The sequence below is a fragment of the Homo sapiens genome, chromosome 1 (genome assembly GCF_000001405.40).
Source record: "Homo sapiens chromosome 1, GRCh38.p14 Primary Assembly".
NCBI classification, from domain to species: domain Eukaryota; kingdom Metazoa; phylum Chordata; class Mammalia; order Primates; family Hominidae; genus Homo; species Homo sapiens.
The window spans coordinates 165,860,017-165,887,907 of NC_000001.11; the positions used below are offsets into that span (position 1 = coordinate 165,860,017).

Sequence of the window (27,891 nt, forward strand, 5' to 3'; positions counted from 1 at the left end):
GTCAGGGCTCACAGCTTTGAAGGAGGTTCAAGCCACCATCATATTTTGCTATAGTCCAGACTGCTGGACATTGATCAGTCCTCTGTCCCCACCTTAACCCTGTGCACGCAGTTGCACTGCGGGGCAGATTCAAGATGCTCACCCTGTGTCCCACTGCTTGTTTTCAGGCTGTGTTGATCACACCTGCCTGCTGCCTTTCAGGATCACCTTCTTAGTTCTTTGTATCCACCTTTGTCCCCACCCTCCACAGCCTTGTCTTGAAGGCCACATACCACACCTTTGAAGCTGCCCTCTTCCTGTTGAAGCCTTCCTTGCTTTTCCAATTGCTTTTCTACTGTTGACAAAAGTAGAGGGGACTGTGACCTAGGGTTATAATTCATCTCCCTGCAGTTGTGCATGATGTTTGTGCAGAGTGAATTCTTTTTTTTTTGAGACAGGGTCTCACTTTTTGAGACGGGCCTCACTCCAGTTGCCCAGGCGGGAGTGCAGTGGTGCAATTGCAGCTCACTGCAGCTTCGACCTCCCAGGCTCAGGTGATTCTCCCACCTCAGCCTCCCAAGTAGCTGGGACTACAGGTGCACACCACCACACCTGGCTAATGTTTTGTATTTTTAGTAGAGACAGAGTTTCAACATGTTGGTCAGGCTGGTCTGGAACTCCTGAGCTCAAGTGATTCATACGCCTCAGCCTCCCAAAATTCTGGGATTACAGGTGTGAGCCACAGCGCCCCGCCCCAGAGTGAATTCTTAACCTTATCTCATATCTATTCGCTATTCTTGACTCCCTTGTTTCTATTATAATCCTTAGAGCCGTGGTGGTCAACTCCAAGAGAGTAGGAACCAAGTCTGCATGATTTGCCTAAAATACTTGATACTTTACTGGGAGTAAGTATAATACTTGAAACTGCTTTGTTGAGAAAAATAAAAGAAAGCATCTGTCCAGTCTACTATAATAAAATAGCTTAGACTGGGTAATTTATAAACAACAGGAATTTATAGCTCACAATTCTGGAGTCTATGAGGCCCAAGTTCAAGGCACCAGTAGATTCAGTGTCTGGTGGGGGGCCCATTCTCTGCTTCATAGTTAGTGCCTTTTATGGTCTTCACTTGATGGAAAGGGCAAAAGGTATCCCCCAAGTCTCTTTTAAAAGGGCGCTAATTCCATTCATGAGGGCTGAGCCTTCATGACCTAATCACCTCCCAGAGGTCCCACCTCTTAACGCTATTGATACGTGGATTAAGTTTCAACACAGGCATTTTAGGGGGACACAGGCATGCCAACCTTAGCAGCAACTTTTCATATAATTTGTATCCTAAAAACAGTAAAACTCGGCCGGGCGCGGTGGCTCACGCCTGTAATCCCAGCACTTTGGGAGGCCGAGGCGGGCGGATCACGAGGTCCGGACATCGAGACCATCCCGGCTAAAACGGTGAAACCCCGTCTCTACTAAAAATACAAAAAATTAGCCGGGCGTAGTGGCGGGCGCCTGTAGTCCCAGCTACTTGGGAAGCTGAGGCAGGAGAATGGCGTGAACCCAGGAGGCGGAGCTTGCAGTGAGCCGAGATCCCGCCACCGCACTCCAGCCTGGGCGACAGAGCGAGACTCCGTCTCAAAAAAAAAAAAAAAAAAAAAACAAAAAAAAACAACAGTAAAACTCAATAGCTCTGGTTTATTGACTGTTTATTACATGCCTGCTAAGATAGGCATTCCCTACCTGGCCATTTTACAGATGAAGGAACTCAGGTTAAAGGAGGTTAACAACCTTGTCCAAGGTCAGACAGCACATCTGGATTCAGACATCAGCTTGTGTGACTTAAGCTTATTTTTCTCTTCACCATGCCAGTCCTGCCTCTAGCAAAATACACGCAGATTTCATGATACCACTTTTAATTTCAGCAAATTATGTTATCATTTTCAATTAACTGATAATTAGCTGGCAGTCCTTGGAAGGTAGAAGGAGTTCTGATGGAAGCCCTCATCGTTTTTTATTCTTTCATGACTTCCACTTGAAGGTCCTTGCTTACTGAAATGGAAGCCATAAGTCCTCTCGTCACCCTTGGTAGAAGGGTGCTAAATCATCCTTGCTAAATACTTGACGGAAACCATCAGTCATCTCGTTTGGCTCTCATCAATCTCTTTGTTCATATGCACAGGCTCTTAATCTCTGTTTTCCCTTTCTTTAGAGTACCGTAGTCTCAGATGATAAACTTCTCTGAAGCTAATTTCTTCACTGCTGCCCTGGAGTGTCTCTTCATGCTGCATTCTAAACAAGTGAAGAGCAAAGTTGCTCTTGGTAGGGCAGCCAGGTTCAGGACAGTGCTGCTTCCAGATCAGAAAACATCCATAGGGTGTAGTCTGGCCCACGCTTGATGTAGGCACAAGGCAGAGGCGAATGAAGATCATGGGAGGTCCTTTGGTGTAAAAACCCCATCTGCCTGGAGCTTCAGGATTAGCAGTGTTTCACAGCCCGTCTGAAGTGCCAGCACTTGGGAAAACTTACAAGAGAGATGTTTGGGAAGTATTTCAAGCACTGCTTTGTGTCCTTAAGGAACAGTGAGTGAATGGCCCGTTGCAGGCTGAGTCTGATGTCAGTTTTTGACTTCCGTATAGTAGTACATCAGGTGGCAGCTGGCTGCAACCCAGCCTCCACTGACTTTAGAGCCAGCCAAGTGAGTTCTAGTTTCAGCCCACAGGTCTTATGTTGTTGCCGAGGGACCTTTACAAGACACTTAAACCCTTAGTTTCCTCTTGTAAATGAGAATTTTAAAAAGTTCCCGACACAGAGAGAGAGGCCATCAATAAATGTTGGATACCTTCCCTTTCACTTCCCTGTTTATGGTTTTTGAAATTTGGAAAAGAAGCTTGTCAGATCTGTGTGTAGAAATAATAAATAATAGGACTTCCCTGTGTAGAAAAGAAAAACTTTATTTTTTAGGGATTTTGTTAGGCATTTGCCTACTTAGAGATCGTTCTGATGGTCTTGTTCTCAACTGTCCCCAGCCAGATGGGGAACATAGGAAACCTATTATGTGCGAGCCAATGGGTCCAGAGAAAAGAGATAGACAGCTATTGTGATGTCTATCAGAGGACACTGTCTTCTCCCGTGCCAGGTGCCAGGTGTGCTGAAGATCTACTTTGCAGATTGACCCCATAAGGATTTATGCACTTGAGGGCTCATCTCTGGAGACACATGGAAAATTAGCAAGGCAAAAGTTTGGAGTAAAGATGTCTGCACAGAGTGGGCAGCTTGTGTGTTGGAGAACAAGCCATGTTGGCCATTTGTTGTGAATGGCGTGAGGAAAAATGCTTCAGAAACATAGACTTTTCTGGATCTGCAAGCACCAGCATTTTTGGTGTTCTTTTTTACTTCAGTTTTAGATTTGCAGCAGTATTATTGTTTCCTGATTTTGTTAAGCAGATCTTCAGTATTTCATCAGCAGTATGGGTTAAGTTGGCATTAGAAGCTATGCTGGGAACCTAATCCTCACCCGTTTGTCTGGGAAAATGTGTTTCCGTGTTGCACAGTGAGTGAACTTTTTGATGGCAGTGTGTTTGTAAGTTGGGGACTGCCTGTAGGGCATTTTGTAAAGAAGAGAACATTCTTTTCAAACCAAGGGCTTCTGAGAGATAAAGGGAGTTGTCATTGGAACCACATGCTAAAAAAGCATGCTTGAAATTAGTTTTGATTTTACCTTAGTACAGTTGAGCTGAAATAACCTCTAGCAGGGTGCTCTAGCAATACAGAATATTAGTAGTAGACTCATGGAGGTCATCTAGTGGTTTCTGATGGAGAGTTTACAGACTGATTTGGTTTGTGATGAAAATTACATTCTCTGAAATTTATATAGAAAGCATGTATTATATATCACTTATATAACGTATTTGTTAAATATGGCAGTCACCTTATGTGTTTTATAAAAAGTCATGTAGTTTTTTAGTAGTTCCTGCCTTATTTTTTTTCCTTCTTTTCTTTTAAGACGGAGTTTTGCTCTGCCATCTTGGCTCACTGTAACCTCCACCTCCCGTGTTCAAGTGATTCTTCTGCCTCAGCTTTCCAAGTAGCTGGGATTACAGGCACCTACCACCATGCCTGGCTAATTTTTGTATTTTTAGTAGAGACAGGCTTTCACCATGTTGGTCAGGCTGGTCTCGAACTCTTGACCTCAGGTGATCCACCCGCCTTGGCCTCCCAAATTGCTGGGATTACAGGCATGAGCCACCGCGCCCAGCCGGGTCCTGCCTTATTTTTCAATATCCAGGTACATGACTCCACCAGGTCCTAGGTCTGCCACCTCTTTGTGCCTTCTTTGGCTTTTGTGATGGTCACACCCAGGGTGCCAAGTGAGAACAGTTTTTTTTTAAATGATATTTCAGAAACAAATGTTTTATTAATTATTTTTATAGGTATCAGTATATTGTGTATGGGGTTTAGGATTTCACCTCATTATGCTTCAGCCTGATTATTGGGTATACAAAAAGTAATTAGAATAGAATAGTATAAAGAAGAAAAAACTTTCATGACCCAAACCTAACCATTAACTAATAGTTAACACTGTTACATTTCTTTCTAAACTTCTTAAAATGTATGTATGGAACTTACATATATAAGTAAGGTTTTAGACAAAAAGGTTTTGGATAAAATTGAGATTTTAGTTTTATTTATTTTAATTTTTATTTTTTAGAGACACAGTCTTACTCTTTCACTCAGGCTGGAGTTCATTGGCATGATCATAGCTCACTGCAGCCCCGACCTCCTGGACTTAAGTGATCCTCCCACCTTAGCCTCCTGAGTGTCCAGGACTACAGGGGTGAGCCACCATGCCTGGCTAATTTTTATTTTTTCTACTTTTTGTAGAGATGAGGTTCTCAATGTGTTGCCCAGGTTGGTCTTGAACTCCTGGCCTCAATTGAGCCTCCCATCCCAGCTCCCAAAGTATTGGGATTACAGGTGTTAGCCACTGTGTCTGGCCAAAATTGAGATTTTACACACACACACATGCACACACACACTTTTGGTAACTTAATGTATACTGAACATCTCCCATATTACCAAATATTCTTTTCAAATGTCCTTTGGTAGCTGTACACATCACATCATATGTGTAGTGTACTAAAACTTAACAACCCCCATTATTGGTGACCATGTAGTTTGTTAATCCACTTTTGTGCAATGACGGGCATCTTCCTAAGTTAATTTTTTGTTGTTCTTTAATTATTTCCTTAGGATAAATTCCTAGAAGTGGAATTCATTGGTTAAAAGGCTAGACATTTGTTATACTCCTGCCAAACTGGTGTGCAGAATTCTTGGTGCTTGCTGTTGGTAGCACTGTGAGTAGTTTCCCAGATGTAGTGTGTTGCAGGGGTGACAGTACTGAAAGGCCCTCCACCCCCTGCAAAGCATGGCAAGTGCAGCAGCAAGATCTGCGGTGGCAAAAACCAGGAAGACAGTCATTCCCATCATCTTTTGACATTGCTTTTTTCCCCATTTTTTAGGGGGGACAATTGATGTTCTTTGTCAATTCAATCATATTTCTTTCTTTTTTTAATGTACGAAGATAGACTTCCTATATTATATTGCCTTTTTAAACATCTTTCCCACACAAAAAAGAGAGCTACCGACAGACTGTCCATTCCGTTGCACTAGGACGCTCTTCAAACAAAGCCGGTACCTTGAGGAGACAGTAAAGGAGGTCTGAAATGAACATGCCCCGATCACCAGCCAAGCACTCTGATGACAGAGCTTGGAAGCCAGGGTCTGGGGTAAGCTAACTAGGATAACCACAGTCGTAACGACCAATTACAGAAGAACACTCGCACAATGAGACTTTGCTTTCATCAACAGTGACAGAACTCAGGCCAGTTCTTTTGATTCTAAAAAGGTAGGAGATCAAACCCAATGCTTACCACCTGCTAAGCAGAAAGATCTGATCCGCTTTCCCAAACCAGTTATTTGTTGTGTGGCTGGAAACAGAAGAAGGGCTGCCTAAAACTGAGTGGTGGGCTAGGTAGTACGGGGAATAGGGAGAGGAAGAAGGGGAGGAGCAGGGAGCAAAGGTACTTTCAGGGAGCAGTATTTTAAGTCTTCCTGGAAGAGGAAGTTAACTGGGAGACTGGAGTATAGGCTGTGCTCTTAGCATATATACCGGGAAGTAAACACCTCTTAGGAGGCTGGCTTGAAGTTGACAGTTAGTAATGCAAGCTATTGATTTTTTTTGAAAGTATTTGTTAAGAGTGAATTGGTTTCTATAACTGTGAAAATGGCTGTAGGACAACGTTTCCCCTGCCCAATTGTGGTTTCAGATGCTACTTTTCACCACTTTGAACCTGGAGGACATCTTGGTTTTAGAGACTCTACCTGAAAAATGTAACTTAGGTTCATTGTACTTTTATTGAGGGCTTGGCACTGGAATAAGTGTTCACAGATTGATAACATAAGATCCCTGCCCTTGATATATTCAGTTTAGTGGCAGTGAGAGGAATAATAATATAAATAGATAATTTTATTATTCTGGCAAAATATACATAACGTAAAATTTATTTTCAAGTTTACAGTTCTGTGACATGCTCATGTTGTTATACAACCGTCACCACCATTTATTTCCCAAGCTGTTTCATCTTCTCTAACTTAAACTCTGTATCTGTTAAATAATAATTCTTCCTCATCCCCAGGCCCTGGCAACCACCATTCTACTTTCTGACTCAGAATTGGACTATTCTAGGTACTTTAGTTAAGTGGAATCACACAGCATTTGCCTTTTTGTGATTGGCTGATTTTACTTAATATAATTCCTCAAGACTCATCGTACTGTATTGTATGTCAGAATTGTCTTTTTAAGGCTACGTATCATTGTATGTATATATCAATTTATTCATCAATAGGCACTGGGTTACTTTCACCTTTTGACTGTTGTGAATAATGCTGTTATGAACATGAGTGTACAAATATACACATACCTCGGAGATATTGTGGTTTCAGTTGCAGACCACGGCAATAAAGTGAATATCATAGTAAAGTGTCACACAATTTTTTGTTTCTTTTCCAGTGCACGTAAAAGTTATGTTTACACTATACTATAGTCAATTGAATATGCAGTAGCATTATGTCTAAAAAAATTGCAGAGACCTTAATTTTAAAATGCTTTATTACTAAAAATCGTAGATACCTTAAGTTTAAAATGCTTTATTGCTAATGGTCATCTGAGCCTTCAGCAAGTTGTAATCTTTTTGCTGGTGGAGTGTCTTGCCTCGATAGTGATGCCGGAAGGCTAGGGTGGCTATTGCAATTTCTTAAAGTCAACAATGAAGTTTGCCACGTTGATTGACTCTTTCCTTCATGAAAGATTTCTCTGTTTTATGTGATGCTGTTTGATGGCATTTTGCCCATAGTCAAACTTCTTTCAAAGTGGGAGTCAATTTTACCTTTCGACCCAGCAATCAAAAAATAAAAAATTTAAAAAAAATTAAAGTCAGTCCTCTTAAACCTTGCCACTGCTTTATCAACTAAGCTTATGGAATATTCTAAATCCTTTGTTAGCATTTCAACAATGCCCACAGCATTTTCAGCATTAGATTCCATCTCAAGAAACTACTTTCGTAAGAAGAAACTTGTTCATCATAAGAAACTCCTTATTTGTTCACATTTTATTATGAGATTGCAACAATTCAGTCACATCTTCAGGTTCCACTTCTAATTCTAGTTCTCTTGCTGTTTCCACTACATCTGCAGTGACTTACTCCACTGAAGTCTTGAACCCCTCAACATCATGCATGAGGCTTGGAATCTACTTCTTCCAAACTCTTGTTAATGTTGATATTTTCACCTCCTCCAATGAATCACAAATGTTGTTAATGGCATCTAGAATGGTGAATCCTTTCTAGAAGGTTTTCAGTTTACTTTGCCCGGATCCACCAGAAGCATCACTATGGCAGCTGTAGCCTTACGAAATGTATTTCTTAAATAATAACTTGAAAGTCAAAATCACTCTGATCCATGGGCTGCAGAAGGGATGTTGTGTAGGCAGGCATGAGAATAACATTAATCTCCTTGTACATCTCCATCAGAGCTCTTGGGTGACTAGGTGCATTGCTGATGAGCAGTAATATTTTGAAAGGAATCTTTTTTTATGAGCAATAGGTCTCAACAGTGGGATTCAAATATTCAGTAAATCATGCTGTAATGAGATATGCTGCCATACTGGCTTTGTTGTTCCATTTACAGAGCACAGGCAGAGTAGATGGAGCATACAAGGGCCTTAGGATTTTTGGAATGGTAAATGAGCATTGACTTCAATTTAAAGTCACCAGTTGCATTAGCCTCTAACAAGAGAGTCATCCTGTCCTTTGAAGCTTTGAAGTCAGGCATTGACTTCTCTAGCTGCGAAAGTCTTAGATGGCATACTATTTTAATAGAAGGCTGTTTTTTCTACATTGAAAAAATCTTTAGTGTAGCTACCTTCATCAGTTATTTTAGCTAGATCTTCTGGATAACTTGCTACAGCTTCTACATCAGCACTTGCCGCTTCATCTAGCACAATATGTTAGGGATATGGTTTCTTAACTTAAGCCTCATGATCCAGCCTCTGTTAGCTTCAAACTTTTCTTGTGTGGCTTCCTCATCTTTCTCAGCCTTCATAGGATTGAAGAGAGTTAGGGCCTTGCTCTGGATTAGGCTTTGGTTCAAGGGAATGTTATGGCTGGTTTGATATTCTATCCAGACCAAACTTTCTTCGTATCAGTAATAAGGCTGTTTTGCTTTCTTATCATTCATGTGTTCACTGGAGTGGTACTTTTAATTGCCGTCATGAACTTTTCCTTTGCATTCACATCTTGGCTGACTCCTTGGCATAAGAGGCCTAGCTTTTGACCTGTCTTGGCTTTCGACATGCCTTCCTCACTAAGCTTAATTATTTCTATCCATTGATCTACAGTTAGAGACATGTGACTCTTTTACTTGAACACTTAGAGGCCATTGTAGGGTATTAATTGGCCTAACTTCAATATTGTTCTGTCGCAGGAAATCATAGGGAGGCCCAAGAAGAGGGAGAGAGACAGTGGAATGCCCCAGTCAGTGGAACAGTCAGAACATGTACATTAATGGATTCAATTTGCCATTTTATATGGGCGTGGTTGGTGGCACCCCGAAATAATTACAATAGTAATGTCAAAGATCACTGATCACAGATCACCATAACATATAATAAAATAATGAAAATGTTTGAGATATTGTGAGAATTACCAACATGTGACACAGAGATACAAAGTGAACACATGCTATTGGAAAAATGGTATTAACAAGACTTGCTTCACACAGTGTTGCCACAAACCTTCAATTTGTAAAAAAAACGTAGTATCTGTGAAGCACAATAAAATGAAGTATGCCTGTATCTACTTGAGTTTCAACTTTAAGTTCTTTTGGGTACATCCCCACAAATGGTATTGCTGGGTCATACGGTAATTCTATATTTAGTTTTTTGAGGAGTTCCTATACTGTTTTCTACAGTGGCTATACAAGTTCACATTCCTGCCAGCAGTGCACAAGAATTCCTTTTCCTCGCATGCTTGCTAACATTTGTTCTTTCTAGTTTCTTTCTTAAAAAAAAAATTGCCATCCTAATGGGTATGAAAGAGAATCTCATCATGGGCCTTTTTTTTTTTTTTTTTTTTTTTAAAGAGATGGGGGTCTTGCTCTGTCACTCACGCTGGAGTGCAGTGTGTCGTGATCATAGCTCACTGCAGGCTCAAGCGATCCTCTGCTTCAGCCTTCCAAAGTGCTGGGATTATAGGCGTGAGCCACCACCAGCTAATTTTTAAAAACTTTTTTGTGGACGTCTTGCAGTGTTGCCCAGGCTATTCTTGAGCTCTCAGCCTCAAGCAATCTTCCCAAAGCACAGGAATTATATTAATTATATTAATAGGTTGAGCCACTGTGCCTGGCAAAAGTTTTAAATTTTGATGAAGTCCATCTTACTTATTTTTTTCTTTTGTTGCCTGTGCTTTCAGTATTACATGTAAGAAATCATTGCCAAATCCAATGTCAAAGTGCTTTATTTTTATATTTTCTCCTAAGACTTACAGTTTTAGCCCTTAAGTTTAGGTATTTGATCTGTTTTGAGGTGGTGGTTTCTTTTGTTGTTGTTGTTTGTTTCTTTTTTTGTATGGTGTAAAGTAAGGAAAGGTCTAACTTCATTTTTTTTTTTTTTTTTTTGCATATGAATGTCCAGTTTTCCCAATACCATTAGCTGGACGATAATTTTAATATGTGAATGAAGATACTTTTGCTCACAGGAGTTTTTGAGCCTCAGTGTCTGGCTACAGGGTTCTCATTTGAATGTCCAGTTTTCCCAGTACCATTTGCTGGATGACAATTTTAATATGTGAATGAAGATACTTCTGCTCACAGGAGTTTTTGAGCCTCAGTGTCTGGCTACAGGGTTCTCATTTGAATGTCCAGTTTTCCCAGTACCATTTGCTGGATGACAATTTTAATATGTGAATGAAGATACTTCTGCTCACAGGAGTTTTTGAGCCTCAGTGTCTGGCTACAGGGTTCTGCTTTAATATGTAGGAGGAAGAGATTCAAGCCTCTTGCTCCATTATGGGTAGACAGCACACTACAGGGAGCTTCCCTGAGGGAACTTTCTGTGTACTGTTTCCTAGAAATCTGTAGGAACCATTTCAAGTGACGTGGAAGGAGGTTATCAAGGTAGGATTAGAAACATGTATTTATTATGCTGCTTACTATCCAGTCTTCAGTTATATATGTGTTATTATTTTACAGAAGGCTTCATTGGACAAAAATTCCTTGTTAGTCTTTTTTTTCGAGAAGGAGTTTTGCTCTGTTGCCCCGGCTGGGGTGCAGTGGCACGATCTTGGCTCATTGCAACCTCCGCCGTCCAGGTTCAAGCCATTCTCCTGCCTCAGCCTCCCAAGTAGCTGGGATTACAGGCATGTGCCACCATGCTTGGCTAATTTTTGTATTTTTAGTAGAGGAGTTTCACCATGTTGGCCAGGCTGGTCTTGACCTCCTGACCTCAAGTGATCTGCCAGCGTTGCCCCTCCCAAAGTGCTGGGATTACAGGGGTGAGCCACCTCGCCTGGCCCCTGTTAGTGTTTAGTATGGTTTCTTTTTGTGTAGGGGGAGTGAATTTTTTGTGTGTGCGTGTGCGTTTGCTTATTGTACCCATTTCTCATGGTATGGAAAAAAACAGGATTTCATACTCTTAACAGGATACCCTGCACAAGGTGGGAAAATATACCTCGTGTTTTAAAGAAAAATAGTTTAACAAATGGCTTTCATCTGGGTTGTACTCCAGACTTGCTGCTGCTTCATGCTTTTCCAATTGTGCCACAGGCCTGATCCCTTAGCATGTGTGCAGCTGTGGGCTAGAGGGTTGAAAGCAGGTCCTGTGTCTCTTTCCTGGTGAACTCCACAGGGACACAGCTGCAGGTCTTTTGTAACGCTCTGTATATGCACAGGAAGTCCCTTACAACCCACTCTGTTAGATCTCATTTCCTCTTCGGTTATTTGCCCTCTGTGGTCTCTGGGTGTCAGCCTGGCCTGCCTTTTCAGGGTTCAAGGAGCTGCTGGATTGGTGCCCTCTTGTGGTCTGCCTTTGATGTGGTTGGGATCTTGGGAGCTGAAGGCAAAGAAAGGACAAGTGAGCTACCGAGGAGTAAGGAAGACATGAAGTTGAGAAGATAACAGAGGGAAGTTAAAAAAAAAAATCTTTGGTTGAGGAAATTGTTTCTGAATATAACATGATAAAATCAGTTTAGGTTAATCAGTTTAACTGCATCAATAAAGAATTTCTTTGCAAAACACTACTTAAAAAGACAGTTAACTAGAAAGAATTTGTGAGGCAAATGAGAAATGGCCAGTTTCCTTAATATATAAAGAGCTTTTATAAATCAATAAGAAATAAAAGACCAATAAATCAACAGAGAAGTGAGGACAGGATATCAACAAACCAGTTCCAGAAGAACAGAAGCCTTTTAGGCATATACATAGTCTTTTTTTTTTTTCTCTTTTTGCCGGCTGCTCTAGCCAGTTTACTTATTTTTTATTTTTATTTCTTTGAGACAGGGTCTTGCTCTTGTCACACAGGCTGGAGTACAGTGGTGCAATCTCAGCTCACTGCAAACACCACCTTCCAGGTTCAAGCGATTCTCCTGCCTCAGCCTCCGAAGTAGCTGGGATCATAGGTGTGTGCCACTATGCCCAGCTAATTTTTGTATTTTTAGTAGAGACGGGGTTTTGCCATGTTGGCCAGGCTGGTCTTGAACTCCTGATGTCAAGTGATCTGCCCGCCTTGGCCTCTCAAAGTGCTGGGATTACAGGTGTGAGCCACCATGCCTGGCCGTCTTTTAGGCATATAAAAGATGTTTACCCTCACTTAAAATAGGACAGCAAATTAAACAGACCAAAGGTTAAATATCATTAAGAGTGAGGGGGAAATAGTACATTATATATAAATTGTTGATGGTGGGGGCTAGCTGGGCATATATATGGAAATTTTAAAAAATGCAGATTCTTTGCCCTAGCAAATCCACTACTGGAAATCTATTCTACAAATATATATGTATATCCATACATTAAGTTCATTTTAGAAAAAGTTGAGACATAATTTATGTCTGTCAATGGAGGACTAGCTGCAGTTCCTTCATATAGTGGAATACCTTGAAGCCCTTAAAAAGGAGGCAGTCTTAAAAGTATTGACAGTATAATCTTTGAGATATATAAGTGAACGAAGGTGCAGACAGCGTGTATTAGTGTCTGTGTTTGAAAAAAATCATTCACACATGGTTTTATATGTAGGGACTGCCTCTGAAGGGATGTACACGAAACTGAAAACAGTAGCTGCCAGAGAAGTGATCAGCAATCCGGCTGGGAGATAGAGTAGGAAGGAGACAGGCTTTGTGCCTTATACTATTTTGTACCCTGTGAATTTTGCATCACGTTGGAGATGCAAAAAGCAACTACCTTGAAAAGGGCAGTCGAGATCAAGTGGAGTAAGATATTTATTCAGCGCAATGTTAATTATAAAAAGTAAAGTAAGTAGAAAGACCAGGGTAGGAACTACCGAAAAACAAACCAACGAACAGAAAAGAAAACCAAAAAAACCCCCAGAATTTCATGTCTGGTTTTAGGTTGCCACAATTTAATAATGAAGAAGGGACAGATTATAGAATTCTGAGATAGAGAATAGCGAGATACAATAAAATGTAGTTATCTTAAAAGAAGTCAGTATGCAATTGATTGAATAGACTTCACCCCTCACTGGAGGAATATCTTGCCCACATAGGGAGGGAAGAAACTGATGGCCACCGTCTTGGACACAAGCTACCATGCATGCATATAAACACGGAAAAATGCTTGCCAAAATGGTAGCTACATTTATTTCTAGCAGTAGGACTTAGCCAATCATTTCTGTCTTTGTTTTACCTACTTGTACTTTTTAGAAAAAGATTATTACGTTCATTTTTTAATAATGAGAAAAAGTGAAGCTTCCCATTTCTGTGTGATTCTTTATATCTTCCTGACCTTCTCTTTTTTCACTTCTTGCAGTGTGAAAACCCTTTCTCCCGTTGGGCTGTCGTAGTTCATCATCAGTAAAACCTCCATATTCTCAACCCTTTCTTTTGAGTGTCCTTTACCTTTTCTGTCAAAAACTTGCTCTTTCCTGATTTCCCTGTTTTTCCTGCCAAGCCTCAGGAGAAGCTTTTCCCACATGCTGCTTATCTTTGGGCCTTAGTGCCGAGACGTGGGGGGTGGTGCTTCCTTCTTACTTCCTATTTCTTTCAAACCATTCTCCCTCCCTCCCTCCTGCCTAAAACACCAGCTTTGGATCTCACATCACCAGAGCCACTCACTACTCCTGAGCTATTTCTCTGTGATTTTATCTCCTACCTTATTGTCTCTTTCTTTCCAGTATCACTGCTTCCTTTAGTTCTTGGCAATTTCAGTGTAAACATAGGTAATGACTTTAGCCATTGTCTCCCTCTACCTTAGACCTTATCATTACCAGTAATTGCAGTCCTCCATAACCTTAATTTCATGCATCCCATCCTCTGAGGACAACCTTCTATTTTATGAATTTACTTCTCTACTACTTTTATTTTAAAAACAAAAGAGACAGGGGTAGATGGGAACTTGATGCTGCCCTCATAAGCACTGATTCTCTGGGCTCCACAATCACCTGGGCCATTTCCTGGGCCACCCAGCCTGCTTCTTGAGGGAATGCTTTGTGATTTGATTGTTTATAGATGTTATGCTAGACCCCTGTTGACTCCAATAGGGATGACACCATGTTTGAGAGACTGAAGAAAAGACCCGGAGGTATCAAATGAGACATAGGGTTTATTTGGGGGACTCACGTACAGAGCCGTCCAGTGGCAGCGGGCTTGGCAGGAAGCATGCTGCTACCTTTTGTAAAAAACATGTAGCTCATATAGCATTTTCATTTAGCATCCTCCCCCTGGCAGCCTCCCAAAACAAAGGTCTCCATCCCCTGCGTTAAAAGGGATAGGGCAGGGATTTGGATGTCTTTAATAGACAAAGACTGAATCTCCAGGTTGGCCACTCTCAGATTTCTTAGCCTGGAACTCCAAACCAACACTCTTCTCATTCTTAGGATATGCTTCAGTTATGGCTATCAGGTGCCTCTGCCATAAAACAGGAAGATTTTTTTTTTAACGTAAGAATTCCTTTTCTTCCATCTATAGGTTGTTAAAATGGAAGATTTGTTTTACCGAGGACATGAAAGGCATTGCAGTTGCTTGGGCATTCTAGAAGAGGGTGCTGTCCTTTGCCCTGGTGTTTTCTTAGGTGGCTGTGGCAGGAACACTAACTCTTAAGGAAATGGATGCTTTTTCTTTCCTGGTACATAATGTATGAACACTAGTGTGTTGTTTTCATTGTGTAGTGTGGTTTAATAGTATGATAATGTAGTTTTGTGCCGTTTTATAGACGTGAAGAAAATAAAACTAATGGGCATGAATTGATGAAGTTTTCAACTGAGTTACCAAAAAAAAAAAAAAAAAGCTTCCTAATGGACTTTCCTGGAAAGATTTGTCTAAATGAAAATTTGGTGGATCTTAAAGAAGAGAATAATTTTTATTGAACATATAGTTTGTGCTAGCCACTATCTTAGGCATGTAGCTTATTAACACTTATGGCCCATTTGTGGAACAGGTATGGTTACCTGCAGTTTAAAACAAGGATGCCAGTGTTCTAAGAGGTTGAGTTGCCCGAGATATCACTGGTATGTTAGAGTCAGGAATCAAGCCAGGTCCTGTGTGCCCTGCCCAGCCTGACTTTAAAGGACTATGTAGGGAAACTCTCTGAAACCACATTTTTCCTTTACTCTCACACCACAACAGTTAACACGGAAGACTTCTGTGACCGATTGTGGTGAGAGAGGGGGGATTTCCTCACACAGCAAGGCACAGACACCAGTTGAGTGTCCTCCAATTTACTTGCTACACTATTTACCTGGAGATAGTGTCAAATCCCACAGGTTGGAAACTCAAGTCTCTAAAACTGCCCCTGCCCCCTGCAGACATGCAAACCTGAGCCTCTGGAACTTCTGATTGATTGACTTCAAGTCGAGGTTCCCATAACCCCCTCTTAGGGTTTGATTAATTTGCTGGAGTGGCTCACAGAACTCAGGGAAACACTTATGTTTACTGGTTTATTATAAAGGATATTTTGCAAAGGACACAGATGAAGAGACGCACAGGGCAAGGCATGGGGAAAGAGGTGCGGAGTTTCCAACCCCTCCCTTGTGTGCCACCCTCCAGGAACCTCCAGGTGTTCAGCTATCCGGAAACTCCCTGTACCCAGCTTTCTTGGGTTTTTTGGAAACGTTCCTTCCTACAGTGCTTAGCCCTCTCAGGGGAGGGTTTGAGACCCACAATCTGAAAGGTGGGGAAAGATTAGATTCCTGCCTCGGGCCAGGTGAAAGGAAGGCAGGAAAGAGATTCTGTTTCCTGACCCAACATTATCACAAAAGACTGTAACAAGGGCTGTGGGAGTTATGGACCAGGAACCTGGTTGAAAACCATTATAAATCATAACACCACAAGGACCTATATTTTGCTTTTTAGGACATTGTAGTAGGTGGGTAGTTTTCATCCTCTTGCTTTTTAAAATCTATCTTGCCCAGAAGTTTATTGGGCATTTCTATGGAAACACAACACCTCTCTTAAATGGCAGTTTCACACATCTGCAGCCTAGTAATTGCTACTCATTTTGAAGACCCTGAAGCACACCACTGGATCTGGAAGTGACATCTTCGTCACCAAGGAAACAGTAGATTAAGTCCTGTGCTCAGTATAGTTTTACTTCTGAGTATTTAGTAAGTATGATAAATTATTAACCAGGATATTTGATTAGGTAGACATGCCTATATTCCAGATAGCAACAGTTTACCATTAGAGCAAACAGAAAACACCAGGAAAAATTCTGCAGGACAAGTTTGTAAAATGCAATGATACATCTTTATGACATATATCCTCTGTAAGGAGATAAAAACAATGTATGTACAGGAGTGTACATAAATAAAAGTTGAAGAAAGTACATCCTCTGTGATTTAAAAAAAGAAATTCAATATACCCATTAAAAAAGTGACAGGTGTATTAGTTTTCTATGGCTATAGTAACAAATTACTACAATCTTGATGACTTAAAATGACAGATTCATTCTCTTATAGTGCTGGAGGCTGTAAGACTGAAATTTAGGTGTGGGCAGTGTTGGCCTCTTCTGGAAGATCTGAAGGAGACCCATGCCTCCGTCCTGTCTCCCAGCTTCTGCTGCCATTTCTTGTATCACCCCAGTCTCTACTTTCACCTTTATATGGCTTTCCCTCATGTCTCCGTGTCTTCACCTTTTCTGTTTCTTAGAAGGACACATGTCATGGGGTTTAGGGCCCACCCTAATTCAGGATGATCTCATCTCAAGATATTTAACTTAATTACATGTGCAAAGACCTTTTTTCCAAATAAGGTCATATTTTGAGGTTGGGGGAGTTAGAATATGATCGTAGATTTTGGGGGGCAACAATGTAACTCACTTATAAATGGTCCACTGACCCCCCCAAAATTTGTCCTGTGTGCAGAATGCATTCATCTCATCCCAATTAATTATTAACACTGCTTTGTGAGGAAAAATTAAGAATTTTGAAAAGTGAGAAGCTATACCTCTGGGATAAATAAAAAGACAAATGGCAGAAGATGGATAGTCGCTAATCTTTTTTTTAGATAAACATTTTGTTTTGAGATAGTTGTAGGTTCACAAACACATAAGAAATAATACAGAGAGATCCCATATTACAAAAGACACCGGGATGTTGACGTTGATACAGTGAAGATACAGAACACTTCCATCGCTACTGCTGTTTTGCTGTTTATTACCTGCCCCGGATTTCCCGCCCCTCCACTGCTCCCTGTCCCTAACCGTGGTCCACCACTAATCGTTCCACAATTTTATACAAATATAACCATACTGTATGTAACCTTTTGGAATTGCCCTTTTTTACTCAGCACAATTCTCTGGAGATTCGTGCAGGTTGTTGTATCAGCAGTCATTCGTTTTTATTGCTGAGTAATAGTCCATTGTATGGATATACCGTAGTTTAACCATCGGCGTAATGAAGGCCATCTGGGTGGCTTCTAATTTTTGGCTCTAACAAAGCTTCTATGAACATTTGTGTATGTATTTTTGTGTGACTATGTTTTCATTTCTGTGGGATCAGTACAATTGCCTGATCATATGGTAGTTTAGTTGCATGTTTATTATCTTCTTTAATATGCTTTTTTTAAAGAGCAGTTTTAGGTTCCTAGCAAAATTGAGGAAAAGATAGAGATTTCTCTGATTCCCCTTGGCCCAACACATGCACAACCTCCCCTATTATCAACACCCCCCATCAGAGAGGTACGTTGGTCACAGTCATGAACCTACATTGTCACATCCTTATCAACAAGTTAATAGTTGACATTAGGGTTCACTTTTGCTGTTGTACATTGAGTGGGTTTGGACAAATGTATGATAACATGTTATCCACCATTATAGCATCATACAGAATAGTTTCACTTCCCTAAAAAATCCCCTGTGCTCTGCCCATTCATCCCTGCCTTTCCCCTAACCCCTGGCAACCACTGATCTTTTTGTTGTCCTCATAGTTTTGCCTTTTTAAGAATGTCATATACTGTAGTTGAAATCATACATTATGTGACCTTTTCAGATTAGCTTCTTTCACTTAGCAATATGCATTTAAGGTTTCTCAGTGTCTTTTCATGGCTTGCCAGCTCATTTCTTTCTTTCTTTTTTTTTTTTTGAGACAGAGTCTTGCTCTGTCACCCGGGCTGGAGTGCAATGGCGCAATCTCGGCTCACTGTAGTCTCCACCTTCTGGGTTCAAGCGATTCTCCTGCCTTAGCCTCCTGAGTAACTGGGACTACAGGTGCGTGCCACCATGCCCAGCTAATTTTTGTATTTTTAGTGGAGACGGGGTTTGGTGAAACCCCCTCTGGCCATGTTGGCCAGAGTGGTCTTGATCTCCTAAACTCGTCATCTGCCCACCTTGGCCTCCCAAAGTGCTGGGATTACAGGCGTAAGCCACCGTGCCCGGCTGCCAGCTTATTTCTTTTTAGCACTGAATCACATTCCATTGTCTAGCTGTACCACAGTTTATTCATTCACCTACTTTAGTACATCTTGGTTGCTTGCTTCCAAGTTTTGGCAATTATGAATAAAGCTTCTATAAATACCATGCGCAAGTTTTTGTGTGAACATACATTTTAAACTCCTTTGGGTAAATACCAAGGAACATGGGTGCTGGATTGTATGGTAAGACTGTTTAGTTTCACAGGAAACTGCCAAATTGTCTTCCAAAGTGGCTATACCATTTTGCAGCCCTACCAGCAATGAGTGAGAGTTCCTGTTGCTCCACATCCTTGTTAGCACTTGGTGTTGTCAGTGTTCTACATTTTGGCCATTTTAATAGGTATGTAGTGGTACCTTGTTTTAATTTGCATTTCCCTGATGACAATAGATGTGGAACATCTTTCCATATGCTTATATGTCATCTATATGTCTTCTTTGGTGAAGTGTCTGTTAAGGTCTTTAGACCATTTTTTGTTAGGTTTGTTTCTTATTGTCGAATTTTAAGAGTTTTGTGTTTTTATTTTTTGTTATATTTTGGATAACAACCTCTTATCAGGCATGCCTTTTGCAAATGTATTCTCCCAGCCTGTATCTTGTTGTCATTCTCTTGTCAGGATCTTTTGCAGAGCAGACCACCATGCTTGGCTTGAGGTTCATTTTTTTGGTCGATGGATATCCATTCAGTTGCTTCAGCACCACTTCTTGAAAAGGCTGTCCTTCCTCCACTGAATTGCATTTGCATCTTTGTCATATCAGTTATTCATATTTGCGTGGGTCTGAAATAAGAGTTTGGCCCATATCTACTGATAGTTCTGCCAGTTTCACAAATTAATAAAAGAAAATCATTATATTCAAAGGATGTTTGCTTTTTATTATTATTATTATTATTATTATTTTGTCAGTAGTAGATTAGCCCTGAAAATTTATGATGACTTCCAGTGTGATGAACTTACTCCTCCTTATACAGTAACGTGGTCTATGTGGCTTTGGGAGTTCTTTTCTCTTTTCTCTTTTTTGATTCTTGGAGTTTTGGGGCCCTGGAGATGGTAGTGATGAATGACGAATTCAGCAAAACTTAGAAGGGAACAGTCGAGGGAATTGAGACAGCCAATAGAGGACTTGAACCCCTTTCTTCAAATGCTATGAAGAATAAATAATAAGATTAGTTTTCAAAGATGTGAAAGAGACTCTGAAAAAGGAACGGAAGTGGGTGCTTGGCATTGCTTTCTCTTTCCTTCCCCTGTTGCTCTGTATTTGGGCATTAGATGTGGGTGCTGGAGGAGAAATTAAGAAGAAAATGTTAAAAATCTTGATAACTAGACAGTCTGATTTCTGATTTTCCAGTTTAGATAAGGATTACTGGATGGAGGAGTTAACTAAAATATACTTTGTACAACAAAGCACTGTTGTGCTGTTACATCCACATTAAATGTTTACTCATGTGCGGCCTGCAATTTGGAAAGATTCGGCAGAGGATCCAACTGGCACATTGTGCTCTCTTGATCTATTCAGTTTTTTAAGAACGGAGGAAAGTCAGCTTTCGTTTTGTGTCTCATACCCAGAAGGACTTCAGTTCTTTCTTTCAGTCCATAATTTCTGTAATAAGCATATTATCTTTGCTCAGTAAACAGGTCCCTAGCAAGTGGGTGGGTTTTGGTGTGTCACCCAGGACAAGGGGCCCAGTTTGTTGTTTTTCACTATCCCAACTTGCCTCTTAACGCTCAAGTAAAAGGGGAAAGAAATAGACCCAGCCTCACTTGCACCCACAAGTCAGTAATAATTAGTCTTCCAGCAGGTCTCCTCTTTGTTTCTGCTTCTTGGAGAGGGCATCATAAGCAGCAGTTCACCAAAGTTAGCAACAAGCCTAGATCCATTCAGTTTTTTTTGGGGGTGTGTGTGTGTGTGTGTGTGTGTGTGTGTGTGTGTGTGTGTGTGTGTGATGTCTTTTGTGTTTGTCCTGTGGGGACAAATACAAAGTAGGATCCATAGACTCCATATTCAGGCTTAGAATAAAGACTGAAATTAATCACTATTCTATATGGAATAATCTTAATTCAGTTGCGAGGGATACATTGCCCCTTGAATCTCAAGCATAGCCCTGTTTTGTCTTTGCTTGGTGGTAGCTGTTAACCAGGCTCTGGGTGAGCCTAGAACTTGGTCTCACATGAGCAGTGTAGATACCTCTCTGCCTTTTTGTTTAAGATGATGTAGCAGGCTGGGCGTGGTGGCTCATGCCTGTAATCCCAGCACCATGGGAGGCCGAGGCGTGTGGATCACTTTGGGTCAGGAGTTCGAGACCAGCCTGGCCAACATGTTGAAACCCCGTCTCTACTAAAAATACAAAAAATTTGCTGGGTGTGGTGGTGCACACCTATAGTCCCAGCTACTCGTTAAGCTGAGGCAGACGAATTGTTTGAACCTGGGAGGCAGAGGTTGCAGTGAGCTGAGATCACGCCACTGTACTCCAGCCTGGGCGACAGAGTAAGACTCTGTCTCAATAAAACTTAAAAAAAAAAAAAAAAAAAAAAAAGAGATGATGTAGAAGAACCATAGTTCTCATTTTTGGCCAGTTTGCCTTCCAGATTTTCTCTGTCATGTTTACCTATATCTTTTACATGGTTATAGTCAGAGTATTTGTACTATATTCTCCCCTGTCCTCATATGTACTTACTCAGGGTTTTTTTTTGTTTGTTTGTTTGTTTTCTATCTTGATCAATTTCACTGTAAGTTTGTTACTTGGCATGAGGGTAGAAATGTTGATTCTTACTCTACTGCTTACTCTACTGTGTGGTGGCGAAGAGCATGCATCTTGAAGCCAGCCCATCTGACTTTGAAGACAGGCTCAACTGTTTTTCAGACGTTTGACTTTGGTCCGAGTCACTTAATCTGCTTCTCTGACTCAGTTTCTTCTTATGTAAAGTAAAATAGGGGTAATAAGAATACCCACTTCATAGAGTTGATTTGAGGATTAAATATAACCAAGTATATGTAAAGCTTTTAGAATAGTTCCTGACATATAGCATGTTCTGTGTGTTAGCTATTATTATCATCACTCAGTTAATTTTGAACCACTTAATTTCCAAGTGCTGGTGAGTCTAAAGAGCAGAGCCAAACATGTAATTACATAAACCCAGAAGTGAATTTTTCAAATGTCTTTTCTAGTAATAGAGCTTAATGAGATTGGCACTTCAGGGAAAAGTCCTAGGAACTTGTTTATGTTGGTGACTGTTGATCAGCCAGAAGATCTCTCAGACGCAGTCTAACATCTGCATCTTTCTAGGCTGGACTACCTTTGCGGCACCAACAGATGGATCAGGAATTAAAACTGGGAGCTTCTGTTGTGGGGAATCTTTCATCTTCTACTGTTAATAGCCTTGTGGGTTTCCCTCTCCTGGGTACTACTTTCTCTACGGAGAGCTTGGTCTGTGGCACAAACAGGTGCCGAAAGGGGGAAGAAACACCTCTGGGTAAATATCTGGAGGTCGGCAGGTGACAGAGCAGTGGTCTGGGGACACTGGTTCAGGTGTATGTTCATCACCCTACCCTTTAAAACTCACATGGAAATGACTTGGCTGATAAGTTACTTGTGGTTCCTGTGATAATTAAGGCAGCCTGTTGGACCAGGACAAAGGATTTCCTCAGCTTTCAAGAGAACGTTTCTACCAAGAGCCATATACTAAGGTGTGCTGGTTATGTGAGTGTTGACCTCAGTATTAGTATCACTTCTGTTGAAAGTGACAGAAAACCTCTAAAACAGGGTTTAAAGATAGTGTACCTCATTATTTCAGAATGTTTGTGCTGCTGTAACAAAATACCTGACACTGTGTGATTCATGAAGAACAGAAATTTATTTCTCACAATTCCAGAGGCTGGGAAGTTCAACATCAAGGTACTGGCAGGGTTGGTGTCTGGTGAGGGCCGCTGTCTGCTTCCAAGGATGCAACTGGTTGCTGAATCCTCTAGAGGGGACTAATGCAGTGTCCTCTCATGGCAGAAGAGCAGAAGAGAATGAATCCACTCCCTCAAGCCCTTTCATAAGGGCCCTCATCACCTCCTATAGGCCTACCTTCTAGTACAATCACATCAGCAGTTAAGTTTCAGCATTTCAGCGTGTGAATTTTGGGGGGACACATTCAGACCTTAACACTCACTCTTTTGTTTTTTTTTGAGACACAGTCTCGCTCTGTCACGAGGCTGGAGTGCAGTGGCATGATCTCAGCTCACTGTAACCTCTGCCTCCCGGGTTCAAGCGATCCTCCTGCCTCGGCCTCCCAAGTAGCTGGGACTACAGGCGCGTGCCACCACACCCAGCTAATTTTTTGTATTTTTAGTAGAGACCGGGTTTCACCATGTTGGCCAGGATGGTCTTGATCTCTTGACCTCGTGATCTGCCTGACTCGGCCTCTCAAAGTGCTGGGATTACGGGTGTGAAGCACTCACTCTTAATGGCTCTCAGCTCTAATTATTTGAATCTTGGGCTTTTATTTAGCTGCTCTCCCATCCTTAGTTAGAATGATAGCAGTGCTGCAAGGTGGCTGCTTGAGCTTCAGCTATCAGGTCTTCATTTGAGTCAACAGGAAGGAATGTCAAAAGAGGGAACAGTTGCATAGTCATGAGGAACTGCAAAGGTGGCTGAAAAATGCAGTCTGTGTGCCCAGCTAAAATTCAAGGACTGATGGCTTGAGTCCAGGAGTTCGAGGCTGCAGTGAGCTAAGATGTTACGACTTCAAAAAAGACTTCTGATAAATTTTGACATTTCTATTTAACAGACATTTGGGAGACACACCCCCACCCCCCAGTCCAGGTGCCTGAGAATAAAAACTTAGTCACACTATTGGTCCTTGTGCTCCAAAAGCTCTTCAGTTATTTGATTGACCCATGGCTGCTTTTTGGTACTGAAGAACCTTATTAGTAATTTAGTGAGTTTTTAATTTAGATCCTGTATGTGGTGGCATGGGTGGGTGGTGGTGATTGTATTGTAGCTAGGAGCTCCTAGTCAGCAATGCATGGGCTCTGGGGCCATGCATGACTTCAAGAATAGATGGCCTAGGGCAACCCACTTGGGTCCCCTTCCATGCTGTGGAAGCTTTGTTCTTTCGTTCTTCACAATAAATCTTGCTGCTGAAAAAAGAAAAGAATAGATGGCTTTGCAGATATTCCAGGGAAGCATTTGAGTGACACCTCTCTATTGTGCCACTTAATCAGTTGGATTGGAAGTTGAGCCAGCAGGTTTGAACCTTGTTCTTAGTTTTAAACCAGGGCAAATTACTGGTGCTTTGGTTTTCTAATGCCTGTAAATTAGAGCTTCTGAGCCATGTGGGGAGCAACCCCTACCCGCAAAGGAGTGATGTAATGTCTGGGGGCTGCAATGGTTTTTTCCTTTGAGATGGATACCATATAAGCTAGTGGTGATACTTACTTTATGATAGTGACAGGGAAAGCTACTGCCAAGAGTAATTGATGTGACCCACACATAGTCCCAGAGCCAAGGAGCTAGATGGGATCTTCCTGCCTGAGGAGGCCAAGCGTCTGGCCTTCAAGCATTCTTCTCTGCTGTGATGTTGTTTCCCGTCCTGAAAAGCAGGGAGGAAATGATCAATCAGTGTGCCTCAACCTGGAGCCGATTGGCTGTGGTTGCTAAGTTTTCTTCCCTCTGAGCAGCCCTCCCTGTGATTCTGAAGCAGCTCATTCGGAGTGTTACAACAGACATCTTGATGGGATTCAAAAATGTTGGGCAGCATGGTTATCTGGTCTTCTTCTGTAAGGATGACTGTGAGGTGTGCCAGCCCATTCCCGTAGGGACACACCTAACCCGACGCCCTCCCAAGGGCTGAATTGTTCTGAGCTGTCCAGGCTTGGGCTATGTCAGGTTCTGAGCACTGAAGTGTAGTGGAGGGTATATGACAAAGAGGCGACAGAGCTGATTACCCTGCTTGTTTTCTTTTATTTATTCAGTGGTCTTGGAACTGGGCAAGAGGATTTTATGGATTAGCTCCTGGAAGACACACACTAGAACTAACATAGTAAGATTGTGTTTAGGCTGTCAGAGCCACCTCCAGGGTGAGAACGATTTTAGAGAAATATCCTTTGTGTAGCAATACAGGAACCTATGCTGGCTCAACAGCTGCCCTTTTGGAAACTGCCAGCCGAAGGGGCCTGTTGATGAGCTGTTTACTGCCACTGGGGCTTCCCAAATGGGAAGTCTCTGCTAAAGGAGTTCATTGTTCAGCATGTCTAGTGGACCCTGGCTCCTAACAGCTGGATTCTTTTGAACATAATAAACATTTCTAGAACAGGTTTTCTTGGTGAGCTTTTAGCTTCCTTTTAATAGGCACATCACTTGCCTGCCTTTAGTTCTATGAAGTTCAACATAAATGTTGACTTTAGTGATGCAGTGGGACAAAACAGTATTATATTTCTCATCAGTTCCCTCCCTGTCTCCCTTCCCCTGTCATTGTTTTCCAGAGGTAAAGTACATTTATGGAGAACATCGGGGTGAATGCCAAAGCGGCTTATGTTCTAAAATAGTGAAAAGAATTGTGCAGTTGGAGTTAGACCTATGGTTTGAGACTCAGCTTTGGGACTGAGCAAATCATTTCACGTGATCAATTTTCTAAGCTCCAGTTTCCTCATTAGGAAAAAAGAAGACAAAGTAATACTTGTTGTAATGGAATTAAATGAGATAATGTCTTCAGAATGCCATGTAAGTAAAGAAATTGTGAATCACCTTCACTGATTTGTTCCATAGATTTTGTTTTTTCCTTTCTTAAAATACCTTGTATTGACCTTCACCTAACTTTGTATTTGGACAACACCCAACAGTCCTAGCAGACCTTTAACCCTCCCGACTCCAATTTCAGTAATGTGTTAGAAGTGGCAGGGACAGAATATATTCTGGATTCATTCACTAAATATAGAGATATTATACAAAATGAAGCTGAACTCACGCTCCAGTGGGCAGTGTCAGTTTGCCTGTGAGACAGCGCTATGCAGCTGCAGCCACTAAGTGTCTAGGCACTGGAGATGGACGGCTAGAGTGGGAATCCTGGCTCCATTCAACCTCTCTTTGCCTCTATGTTTGCCATCAGTGGTGTGGATATGATAATAATTCCCATCACATAAGCTTGTGGTATGCAAATGAGATCATTTTAAAGTGCTGAGCCCAGTACCTAGCATATAGAAAGAAATGGGGCTTTTATTATAGTGATAATAATTTTTAATTGTGGTAAAATACACATAACATAAAATTTACCATCGTAACCGTCTTTAAGTGTACATCTCAGTGGTGTTGAGTATATTCACATTATTGGATGACCAAATTCCAGAACCCTTTCATTATATAAAATCCATTCAACAACTCTTCATTTTCCCCTCCCCTCAGCCCCTGGCAACCACCATTTAACTTTCCGTTTCTATGAATTTGACTTTGCATAGTGCATTTCACTTTGCATAGTGAAATCCTATGGTATTTGTCTTTTTGTGACTATTAATATAATTGTTAAGTCTTAGCCCACTGTAACAGTTGTACCCTTTCCCATTTTAGATTTCTATAGGCTCAGGATTGCCTGCCTTCTCAAACCCTGGTTATTGGTGGATTATTTCTCTTTCTTTTCTTTTTTTCTCTCTTATTTTTTTAGAGATAGAGTCTTGCTCTGTTGCCCAGGCTGGAGTGCAGTGGCATGATCATGGCTCACTGCAGCCTTGATCTCCTGGGCTCAAGCAGTCCTCCTGCCTTAGCCTGCCACACGTAGCTGGGACTACAGGCACAAACACCATGCCTAGATAATTTCTGAATTTGTGTAGAGGTGGGGTCTCACAGTGTTGCCCACCCTGGGCTTGAACTCCTGGGCTCAAGTGATCCTCCTGCCCTAGCTTCTCAAGTCACTGGGATTATAGGTGCACGCCACTGTGCCCAGCTGAATTATTCTTAAGGAACAAGATGACACCTCAGAGCTCCATTTCATCCTTTTGAAGAGAGGGGCAGGATTAGGCAAAAGGAGAACACAGAGATGATAGTGAAAGAGATACAGAGGTGAGTGTTAAGTAAGCGAAAGAGCATTTATTCAGGGCAGAGTAGAGTCTCTTTGTGGGACTCCTCCTTCCCTCCCTGCCTTCTTCCCTACCAGGTAAAAATTCAAACCTACACAACAATAGAGAGGATGATATAACCAAACCCTATGTACATGTCAGCCAGATTCAACAGTTATCCGGATTTTTTAGGGCCCATTTGTAATATGGCCCAGGAGGAAGAAAATGCCTGAACAATCTAGATTAACCTAGAGGCAGGTGTTTCTTTGCTTATTTGTGCAATTTTATTTATCTCCTTCCTGATAAAGGGCTTCTTCTGCCTTGGGACTTCTTACTATCTAAGGTTGAGGTAAAGAGCCAGGACTCTATGAAACCACATTACTTAACTTGGTTTCCTCATCCATGTAGGAGAGCACATGTGGCTTCTAAAGGTGGTCATAATGGAGTGTTTGGCACAGGGACTGCTGCCTAATAAGTAATCATTTACACTGTTAGCAGTGGTAGTGTGTTTGTGGAAGGGAAGGGTCACCAGCCAGGTCCTTGAAAACACAGGACTGAAACATGCAGCGGGGGATCAACACAATTAGTCATACTGTATCATTGATCAAGGGTTGGGATGAGCGCTGATTTTCTAGAATTGCACCTACTGTATGTTCATTATCCCATTTTACTGGCCATTGTACAGGTTCTGTCCTAGATTGTGCTGGGTTAAGGGAAACAGTAGTTTATCTGCAAAATTAGGTAGTGTAACTTTTTAATATGCTTTTTTGATGGTGATGGGATTGCTATTTACATTAAAAACATTTTATGGGTTTTAAATATAAATAAAAATATCACAATTTGAATAACTAGATAATATACATTTGGCTTCGTGAATCACTTTTTTGTTTTTGTTCTTTGGAATTCTAGGAGGAATTCTATCTACTAATAAAGGCTGCAGACTTTATCTTCCTACAACCTTAGGACGTAAGAAACGTCCTAAGATAGATGCCTGGGAGGAAAAGGAAATTGAGGGCCTACAGGTGTTTAAAAACCTATAGTTTATAATTGCTTAGAGCCTTTGATTTCCCCCCCCACCCATCCATCTGTAGCACCCAGAGAGCCTTGGTTTTGTAACATTTTCACTTTTGAATCTAGTTTATCATATGAAAGTTTTACTGTTCTGTGATATTTTGGGGCATGGGAGGATCTGTGGTCCCAAAG

The 27,891-nt window shown here is 41.4% G+C and overlaps 1 protein-coding gene across 2 annotated transcripts in view, besides 3 other annotated features; it reads left to right on the top strand.

Moving 5' to 3' along the window:
• The window catches only part of UCK2 (uridine-cytidine kinase 2), an 84,005-nt gene that overhangs the window by 32,403 nt on the left and 23,711 nt on the right, over positions 1-27,891 (top strand). Inside the window, exon 2 of one of the 2 annotated variants that reach the window (NM_001363568.2) lies at positions 25,126-25,363. The exons of the other annotated variant lie outside the window; for it this stretch is intronic. Coding sequence (NP_001350497.1) covers positions 25,328-25,363 — 36 coding nt within the window. The 5' untranslated portion in view covers positions 25,126-25,327. The remainder of the gene's footprint in view (positions 1-25,125; positions 25,364-27,891) is intronic. 2 annotated transcript variants of the gene reach the window in all.
• Positions 897-1,397: an enhancer, noted in NCBI's record as "H3K4me1 hESC enhancer chr1:165830150-165830650 (GRCh37/hg19 assembly coordinates)". NCBI's record gives its function as "activates a minimal SCP1, AML or CMV promoter by ChIP-STARR-seq in naive H9 embryonic stem cells {active_cell/tissue: H9 hESC(naive)}" and the evidence as "EXISTENCE:reporter gene assay evidence [ECO:0000049][PMID:30033119]".
• Positions 1,398-1,898: an enhancer, noted in NCBI's record as "H3K4me1 hESC enhancer chr1:165830651-165831151 (GRCh37/hg19 assembly coordinates)". NCBI's record gives its function as "activates a minimal SCP1, AML or CMV promoter by ChIP-STARR-seq in naive H9 embryonic stem cells {active_cell/tissue: H9 hESC(naive)}" and the evidence as "EXISTENCE:reporter gene assay evidence [ECO:0000049][PMID:30033119]".
• Positions 22,306-22,405: an enhancer, noted in NCBI's record as "active region_2022". NCBI's record gives its function as "activates an Ori minimal core promoter by ATAC-STARR-seq in GM12878 lymphoblastoid cells {active_cell/tissue: GM12878}" and the evidence as "EXISTENCE:reporter gene assay evidence [ECO:0000049][PMID:35858748]".